The 10126-nt window shown below is 44.6% G+C and overlaps 1 annotated feature.

Annotated features, from left to right (window-relative positions):
* Nucleotides 8978-9479: an enhancer, noted in NCBI's record as "NANOG hESC enhancer chr11:61870547-61871048 (GRCh37/hg19 assembly coordinates)". NCBI's record gives its function as "activates a minimal SCP1, AML or CMV promoter by ChIP-STARR-seq in primed H9 embryonic stem cells {active_cell/tissue: H9 hESC(primed)}" and the evidence as "EXISTENCE:reporter gene assay evidence [ECO:0000049][PMID:30033119]".

Genomic DNA, 10126 nt, shown 5'->3' on the forward strand with positions numbered 1-10126 from the left:
GGGAGCACACTAGTAAGCCTGTGAAACCCATCATAGCTCAGCTTCTTAGCCACCATTGTAGGTTTTTACACGAATTTTTCAGACCTTCCTAACTGTACTGTCAGAAGGATGCATAAATTGAGCTAGTCAAATTAAATAGTTACGGATTGAATAAAAGCTTGGATTTGATCATACTAGCAGATCGTTCTTCCTTATTCATCAAAAATGACAAGCCCAGAAATAGCCCTGGTTGGAGATCAGTATCATTGTGCTCATAAGTTTGGTTTGAGGATAAATTGAGGCCTTGCATAAATAATCTCTCTTCATTATAGCATTGACCATCTTAGCTATATTTTACAGATTCTTCAGATGGCCACAGTGAATGGTTTGGTCATGAGAGTCTTCTTTGGGAAATAAACATACAGCTGGAGATCCCTATTAGGCTGAGGACATAAATAAATCAATGTTTTCTGGTTTGCACTGTAGCTCCAACACGTTAAAAGAAGAGGAGGAGGTGGAGGAGAAGGAGGGAGGGAAAGAGGGACGGGAGGAAAAAAATACACAGAAGAAAATACTCAAATCATAAAAGAAAGTTTAACCCAAAATATATGTGGATCGGAAAGTATTATGGATAAACCCTAAATATAGTTCTTAAAACTGGAAATTTGGCCTGGCATGGGGGCTCACACCTGTAATCCCAGCACTTTGGGAGGTTGAGGCAGGCGGATCACCTGAGGCCAGGAGTTTGAGACCAGCCTACCAACATGGCAAAACCTCATCTCTATAAAAAACACAAAAATTAGCCGGGCATGGTGGTGCATGCTTGTAGTCTCAGCTACTTGGGCTGCTGGGGTGGGAGAACCGCTTGAGCCTGGGAGGCGTAGGTTGCAGTGAGCTGAGATCGCACCACTGCACTCCAACCTGGGTGATAGAGTGAGACTCCATCTCAAAAAAAAAAAAAAAAAAAGCTGGCAATTAGTAGGGGCATTCAGAGTGCTCCCTAGACACTGTGTGTGCCTGATAAAACCAGGAGCCCGGGGGTATTTCTGCCTCTAAGCAAACAGGAAACAATAACTGCTTGGGATGTAGAGGGCTTCTTGCCATGACGTGTCCCCTGAACTTGAAGTTATGCCCAAAGGTCTCATTACCTCAGAAGAGATGAAAAAAAAATTGTAGGTGGCTGAACGAGGCAGAGAGGGAAGTTGATATAAGAAGAAAAATTGTTTAGGATTGTCAACCTAAAGGAAAAAACAGAGGCACAAAATATAATTTTAAAGAGTTTCCTTGGGCAGAGATAAGGACGGCTGCCCGGAAGACTCAGACCCAAGTAATCTTGATATGAGCTCTCGCTGGTTTTTTTTGTGTGTGTGTTTTTGTTTTGTTTTGTTTTGTTGTGTTGTGTTGTGTTGTGTTTTTTGAGACAGTCTCACTCTGTCACCCAGGTCAGAGTTCAGTGGCACGATCTCAGCTCACTGCAACCTCTGCCTCCCGAGTTCAAGCGATTATTCTGCCTCGGCCCCCTGAGTAGCTGGGACTACAGGCACATGCCACCATGCCCGGCTAATTTTTGTATTTTTAGTAGAGACGGGGTTTCACCATATTGGCCAGGCTGGTCTCGAACTCCTGACCTTGTGATCTGCCCACCTCGGCTTCCCAAAGTGCTGGAATTACAGGCATGAGCCACCAGGCCCGGCCCTCTGGTTGGTTTTTAAAGGCAAAAAGGGGCACAAGGAGTGGGGTTGATAGCAAAGTTGTTTATTAGGATTCTCACTGATTTACAGAAATAACATTGATTGATGATTGGCTATTCATTTTTGAACTACAGGGTATGAGTTATGGTGTCCAGTGTGCAGCATTGTTCGATTAATTTATAGCTACTTGTGGCAGCAGTCAGTCTAGAGTCCACATAACAAGCAGCTTGAAGAAATGGTTACCCAGCTCAAGGCGGGAGTCCCCAGCACTGTGGGAGGCCAAAGGGGGCGGATCACCAGGTCAGGAATTCAAGACCAGCCTGGCCAACATGGTGAAACCCTGTCTCTACTAAAACTACAAAAATTAGCTGGGCATGGTGGCATGTGCTTGTAATCCCAGGTACCCGGGAGACTGAGGTGGGAGAATCGCTTGAACCGAAACCTGGGAGGCAGAGGTCACAGTGAGCCACGATAGCGCTACTGCACTCCAGCCTGGGCAACAGAGACCAGGCTGCACTCCAGCCTGGGCGACAGAGTGAGACCTGACACGATCTTGGCTCGCTGCGACCTCTGCCTCCCCTGTTCAAGTGACTCTCATGCCTCAGCCTCCCAAAATGCTGGGATTACAGGAGTGAGCCACCGCACCCGGCCTCAAGATTTCTAATCATGTGTTCATGGGGGCATGCCCATGACATGTCTCCAATAAGGCTGAAGCATTCTCCCAGTGAAATGCGTGGAGCTATCTTCCTGATGGCCAGGCAGATGAAATAGCAGGTTTCCCCCAGATAAAATCTCCATTTCTCCATGTAAAATAGATTGGTGGTCAAGCCTAGAAAACAGTTTGAAGGAACTTTTCTCAAAAGTTCCAGTGTTAGGTTTCTTCAGAGGTACATACAGATAGAGGGGTGACCAAATATCTTTTTTTTTCTCATTTATTTATTTTTTTAATTTGAGACAGAATCTCAATCTGTTGCCCAGGCTGGAGTGCAGTGACACGATCTTGGCTCACTGCAACCTCTGCCTCCCCTGTTCAAGTGACTCTCGTGTCTCAGTCTCCCAAGTAGGGGATTACAGGCTGTGCCACCACACCGTGCTAACTTTCTGTAGTTTTAGTAGAGATGGGGGTTTCACCATGTTGGCCAGACTGGTCTTGAACTCCTGGCCTCAAGTGATCCACCTGCCTCAGCCTCCCCAAGTGCTGGGATTACAGGCATGAGCCACCACGCCCAGCTGTGACCAAATATCTTAAGAGACACTGCCCTTCAGTTTAGCAGCAGGGGGGGTGGTAAGCAACACCTGATATAGTCCCTCCCAACAGGATCGGAGGGAATCTTCTATTTGATGGTGATTGTAATAAACAAAATCTTCAGGTTGGAGGCCATAATCTTTTATGTCTTCATCTCCAGGGAGCTTACTGCTAAAATAACCTTTAATTAATCTAGAATTTTTAGTGAGAGGCTTTATAAGGCCTTGGCAATAATGAAGAAAATCAGCTGGGCACAATGGCTCATGCCTGTAATCTCAGCACTTTGGGATGCCAAGGCAGGAAGAACACTTGAGCCCAGGACCTCAAGACCAGCCTGGGCAACACAGTGAGACCCCATTTTCTACAAAGAATTTTTTAAAAAGTTAGCCGGGCATGGTGGCACGCACCTGTATTCCCAGCTACTTGGGAGGCTGAGGTGAGAGGATGCCTTGAGCTCAGGAGGTAGAGGCTGCAGTGAGCCCAGATAGTGCCACTCCACTCCAGCCTGGGAGACAGAGCAATACCCTGTGTCAAAAATAAAATAAAATAAAGAAAATCACCCTTAAGGAAAGCTAGTTTGTAGGCTTCTTCACTCAGGCGCATGGGTGAAGTAGAAAATTCCTGTACATTTTGCCAATTGATTTTTATTACCCTCTGTGCATTCCACCAGTTCAGAAGACCTAGGGTGATGTGTGTGTGTGTGTGTGTGTGTGTATATATATATATGTATATGTGTATATGTGTATATATATATGTATATATATATAACCAAAAAAAACTTTTGAGTAAACTGCAAAAGAAAAAAAGAAACAAAAGAAAATGACCAAATTGACCAAATTCCTTCATCATTGGCATCTTTAACCATGGCCATTTTAAGTGTTGTCCTTTTCCTTCTTGGGGAGTTCCTTCTGTGCTTCACAGCAACTGAGGAACCCATTTCACTGGTCAAATAATTTGGTCTATTTTGGTCTATTTGTTCACATGGCTGATTTTCCAGCATTTCCATTGTGCGTACCACCCTAGGTCTTTTCTTTTCTTTCTTTTTTTCTTTTGCAGTTTACTCAAAAGTTTTTTTTGGTTATATATATATACATATATATATATCTATATACACATATACATATATATATATATACACACACACACACACACACACACACATCACCCTAGGTCTTCTGAACTGGTGGAATGCACAGAGGGTAATAAAAATCAATTGGCAAAATGTACAGGAATTTTCTACTTCACCCATGCGCCTGAGTGAAGAAGCCTACAAACTAGCTTTCCTTAAGGGTGATTTTCTTTATTTTATTTTATTTTTGACACAGGGTATTGCTCTGTCTCCCAGGCTGGAGTGGAGTGGCACTATCTGGGCTCACTGCAGCCTCTACCTCCTGAGCTCAAGGCATCCTCTCACCTCAGCCTCCCAAGTAGCTGGGAATACAGGTGCGTGCCACCATGCCCGGCTAACTTTTTAAAAAATTCTTTGTAGAAAATGGGGTCTCACTGTGTTGCCCAGGCTGGTCTTGAGGTCCTGGGCTCAAGTGTTCTTCCTGCCTTGGCATCCCAAAGTGCTGAGATTACAGGCATGAGCCATTGTGCCCAGCTGATTTTCTTCATTATTGCCAAGGCCTTATAAAGCCTCTCACTAAAAATTCTAGATTAATTAAAGGTTATTTTAGCAGTAAGCTCCCTGGAGATGAAGACATAAAAGATTATGGCCTCCAACCTGAAGATTTTGTTTATTACAATCACCATCAAATAGAAGATTCCCTCCGATCCTGTTGGGAGGGACTATATCAGGTGTTGCTTACCACCCCCCCTGCTGCTAAACTGAAGGGCAGTGTCTCTTAAGATATTTGGTCACAGCTGGGCGTGGTGGCTCATGCCTGTAATCCCAGCACTTGGGGAGGCTGAGGCAGGTGGATCACTTGAGGCCAGGAGTTCAAGACCAGTCTGGCCAACATGGTGAAACCCCCATCTCTACTAAAACTACAGAAAGTTAGCACGGTGTGGTGGCACAGCCTGTAATCCCCTACTTGGGAGACTGAGACACGAGAGTCACTTGAACAGGGGAGGCAGAGGTTGCAGTGAGCCAAGATCGTGTCACTGCACTCCAGCCTGGGCAACAGATTGAGATTCTGTCTCAAATTAAAAAAATAAATAAATGAGAAAAAAAAAGATATTTGGTCACCCCTCTATCTGTATGTACCTCTGAAGAAACCTAACACTGGAACTTTTGAGAAAAGTTCCTTCAAACTGTTTTCTAGGCTTGACCACCAATCTATTTTACATGGAGAAATGGAGATTTTATCTGGGGGAAACCTGCTATTTCATCTGCCTGGCCATCAGGAAGATAGCTCCACGCATTTCACTGGGAGAATGCTTCAGCCTTATTGGAGACATGTCATGGGCATGCCCCCATGAACACATGATTAGAAATCTTGAGGCCGGGTGCGGTGGCTCACTCCTGTAATCCCAGCATTTTGGGAGGCTGAGGCAGGAGGAATGCTTGAGCCCAGGATTTTGAGACCAGCCCGGGCAACACAGCGAAACCCTGTCTCTATAAAAAAATACAAAAAATTAGCTGGATGTGGTGGTGCATGCCTGTAGACCCAGCTACTCGGAAGGCTGAGGTGAGAGGAACGCTTGAGCTCAAAGGTCAAGCCTGCAGTGAGCCATGATAGCGCCACTGCACTCCAGCCTGGGTGACAGAGTGAGACTCTGTCTAAAAAAAAAAAAATCAGGTCTCACTCTGTCTGTCACCCAGGCTGGAGTGCAGTAGCGCTATCGTGGCTCACTGTGATCTCTGCCTCCCAGGTTTCGGTTCAAGCGATTCTCCCACCTCAGTCTCCCAGGTACCTGGGATTACAAGCACACGCCACCATGCCCAGCTAATTTTTGTAGTTTTAGTAGAGACAGGGTTTCACCATGTTGGCCAAGCTGGTCTTGAATTCCTGACCTGGTGATCCGCCCCCTTTGGCCTCCCACAGTGCTGGGGACTCCCGCCTTGAGCTGGGTAACCATTTCTTCAAGCTGCTTGTTATGTGGACTCTAGACTGACTGCTGCCACAAGTAGCTATAAATTAATCGAACAATGCTGCACACTGGACACCATAACTCATACACTATAGTTCAAAAATGAATAGCCAATCATCAATCAATGTTATTTCTGTAAATCAGTGAGAATCCTAATAAACAACTTTGCTATCAACCCACTCCTTGTGCCTCTTTTTGCCTTTAAAAACCAACCAGAAGGCCGGGCCTGGTGGCTCATGCCTGTAATTCCAGCACTTTGGGAAGCCGAGGTGGGCAGATCACAAGGTCAGGAGTTCGAGACCAGCCTGGCCAATATGGTGAAACCCCGTCTCTACTAAAAATACAAAAATTAGCCGGGCATGGTGGCATGTGCCTGTAGTCCCAGCTACTCAGGGGGCCGAGGCAGAATAATCGCTTGAACTCGGGAGGCAGAGGTTGCAGTGAGCTGAGATCGTGCCACTGAACTCTGACCTGGGTGACAGAGTGAGACTGTCTCAAAAAACACAACACAACACAACACAACAAAACAAAACAAAAACACACACACACACAAAACCAGCGAGAGCTCATATCAAGATTACTTGGGTTTGAGTCTTCCGGGCAGCCGTCCTTATCTCTGCCCAAGGAAACTCTTTAAAATTATATTTTGTGCCTCTGTTTTTTCCTTTAGGTTGACAATCCTAAACAATTTTTCTTCTTATATCAACTTCCCTCTCTGCCTCGTTCAGCCACCTACAATTTTTTTTTCATCTCTTCTGAGGTAATGAGACCTTTGGGCATAACTTCAAGTTCAGGGGACACGTCATGGCAAGAAGCCCTCTACATCCCAAGCAGTTATTGTTTCCTGTTTGCTTAGAGGCAGAAATACCCCCGGGCTCCTGGTTTTATTAGGCACACACAGTGTCTAGAGAGCACTCTGAATGCCCCTACTAATTGCCAGCTTTTTTTTTTTTTTTTTTTTTTTGAGATGGAGTCTCACTCTATCACCCAGGTTGGAGTGCAGTGGTGCGATCTCAGCTCACTGCAACCTACGCCTCCCAGGCTCAAGCGGTTCTCCCACCCCAGCAGCCCAAGTAGCTGAGACTACAAGCATGCACCACCATGCCCGGCTAATTTTTGTATTTTTTATAGAGATGGGGTTTTGCCATGTTGGTAGGCTGGTCTCAAACTCCTGGCCTCAGGTGATCCGCCTGCCTCAACCTCCCAAAGTGCTGGGATTACAGGTGTGAGCCCCCATGCCAGGCCAAATTTCCAGTTTTAAGAACTATGTTTAGGGTTTATCCATAATACTTTCCAATCCACATATATTTTGGGTTAAACTTTCTTTTATGATTTGAGTATTTTCTTCTGTGTATTTTTTTCCTCCCGTCCCTCTTTCCCTCCCTCCTTCTCCTCCACCTCCTCCTCTTCTTTTAACGTGTTGGAGCTACAGTGCAAACCAGAAAACATTGATTTATTTATGTCCTCAGCCTAATAGGGATCTCCAGCTGTATGTTTATTTCCCAGAGAAGACTCTCATGACCAAACCATTCACTGTGGCCATCTGAAGAATCTGTAAAATATAGCTAAGATGGTCAATGCTATAATGAAGAGAGATTATTTATGCAAGGCCTCAATTTATCCTCAAACCAAACTTATGAGCACAATGATACTGATCTCCAACCAGGGCTATTTCTGGGCTTGTCATTTTTGATAAATAAGGAGAAAGATCTGCTAGTATGATCAAATCCAAGCTTAAAAGCTTAAAATTCAATCCATAAATATTTAATTTAAGTAGCTCAATTTATGCATCCTTCTGACAGTACAATTAAGGAGGTCTGAAAAATTCGTGTAAAAACCTACAATGGTGGCTAAGAAGCTGAGCTATGATGGGTTTCACAGGCTTACCAGTGTGCTCCCTGACAAAATGTAAAAAGGACCGTGTTTTATATTTAGTATCAAAGACTTTACTAAATTATTTGAGCTTGGGAGTCCTCACACGGTGTTTCTTTTTAAAAATGTTAATTTTGTAGGGGCAAGGTTTCATTCTGTCACCCAGGCTGGAGTTCAACAGTGTGATCATAGCTTACTGTAGCCTCGAAGTCCTGGGGCTCAAGAGAGCCTCCCACCTCAGCCTCCTGAGTAGCTGAGACTACAGTTGTGTGCCACCATGACTGGCTAATTTTAAAATTATTTTTGTGGAGATGGGGTCTTTCTATGTTGCCTAGGCTGGTCTCAAACTCCCAAGTGATACTCCCATCTTGTCCTGCAAAGTGGTGGGATTACCAACGTGAGCCACCATGCCCGGCCAGCACTTTTTTTTTTTTTAATGAGATGGAGTTTTCGCTCGTTGCCCAGGCTGGAGTGCAGTGGTGCGATCTCGGCTCACTGCAACTTCCGCCTCCCAGGTTCAAGCAGTTCTCCTGTCTCAGCCTCCTCAGTAGCTGGCATTACAGGCGCCCACGACCAGACCTGGCTAATTCTTTTTTTTGTATTTTTGTAGAGAGGAGGTTTTGCAATGTTGGAGGCTGGTCTCAAATTCCTGACCTCCAGTTATCTGCCTGCCCTGGCCTCCCAAAGTGCAGGGATTACAGGCATGAGCCATCACACCTGGCCCAGCATTTTTAATACTAGTGGGATCTCTTCAAATTGGAATAATTATAAATTAGAAAACATCACTCTGGTAGGAAATCCATATAAAGAAAAATACATTCCTTCTACTTTTACAACACTTCTGACATCAACTATGTGAGTTTCCTACACCAAGTCATTCTCCAACTCTCTTGTAAACCAAAAATAAAATTCTAAGCCTCCTATCCAACTGAATAGATCCCCTCTTGGCCAAGAGGACCCCAGAGAAACCTGAAAAATGGAATTCCCAGCCATGACGGGAAGGGAGGTCAGATACACTTCATGACACCTTCTCCCTTTTGGAGTTTAGGCCCAGTTGACCAGCATGAACATTAAAATAAAGATTATAAGACTGAGTAAACAAACTATGGCAGTGAGATGCCAAATTCCAGGCTGACTGGCATAGCATGACATGACAGATGGCAAACCATGAAGGAAATAAAAATATTTTAGTCCAAAATAGATGTCTTTGAATATTTTGGAATGGCCCTACAAAGCTGTCTTTTGGGGTGGGGGTGGGATTTGCATCTGCAGAGAATTTTCATCAATGCAGCCAGGCCTTCCCTTTCTAGGCTTTTTCTGGACCTAGGAAAGGCTAAATTAGGGTCTTGACACCTTTAAGATCTGAAAAGAGACATTCACCATCTATTCTATCTGAGGGCTGCTACCTAGGAGGCTTCATCTACATAACAAGAATCTTGGCCTCCACAACCCACCTTATCTTATTGCAAGCATTTCTTTCTACTGAGACAAAGCTTAGCTCTTTCAACCAATTGCCAATCAGAAAATCTTTGAACCTACCAATGACCTATAATAGAGGCCCCACTTCAAGACATCCCACCTCTTTAGTCTGTATACACTGATTTATGATTTTACCTAAAATTCCTGTCTCCCTAAAATTTATAAAACCAAACCATAACCCAACAACCTTGGGCACATTCTCAGGACTTTTTGAGACTGTTCCCCAAGCCATGGTCACTCGTATTGGCTCAGAATAAACCTCTTTTAATATTTTAGTGTTTGGTTTTTCTGTTAACACTCTGCATACAACAACTGGGTCTCCCACAATTTAATTCAATTTGACACTACCCAGAGTTAGGGGAGACCCCACAGGTTAGGAGCTTACTTCCCACAAGACTGTTCCCCCTTCAGATGATGACACAAGTAGTGGGTCCCCAGGTGACCCACAGTTCCGTCTGACATGGCTATAAATCAAGGGTTCCCCTAAGCCCCCTTCATGTTCAATAATTTGCTATAACAGCTCAGACAACTCAGGGAAACACTTTACTTATGTTTACCTGTTTATTATAAAGGATACAAATGAACGGTGAGATGAAGAGGTACACAGGGCAGAGGTCTCTGGAAGGGTCCCAAATGCAGGAGTGTTTGTCCCTGTGGAGTTTGGAGTGTGTCAACCTCCTGGTTCGTGGATGCATTCACCAACCTGGAAGCTCTTTGAACCCCATCTCCATCATTTAGGGTTTTTATGGCAGCTTCATTACATAGGCATGATTAAGGAAAACACTGATCGTGAGTGATTCACTACATCTCCAGCCCCTCTCCC

The sequence above is a fragment of the Homo sapiens genome, chromosome 11 (genome assembly GCF_000001405.40).
Source record: "Homo sapiens chromosome 11, GRCh38.p14 Primary Assembly".
Taxonomy (NCBI): domain Eukaryota; kingdom Metazoa; phylum Chordata; class Mammalia; order Primates; family Hominidae; genus Homo; species Homo sapiens.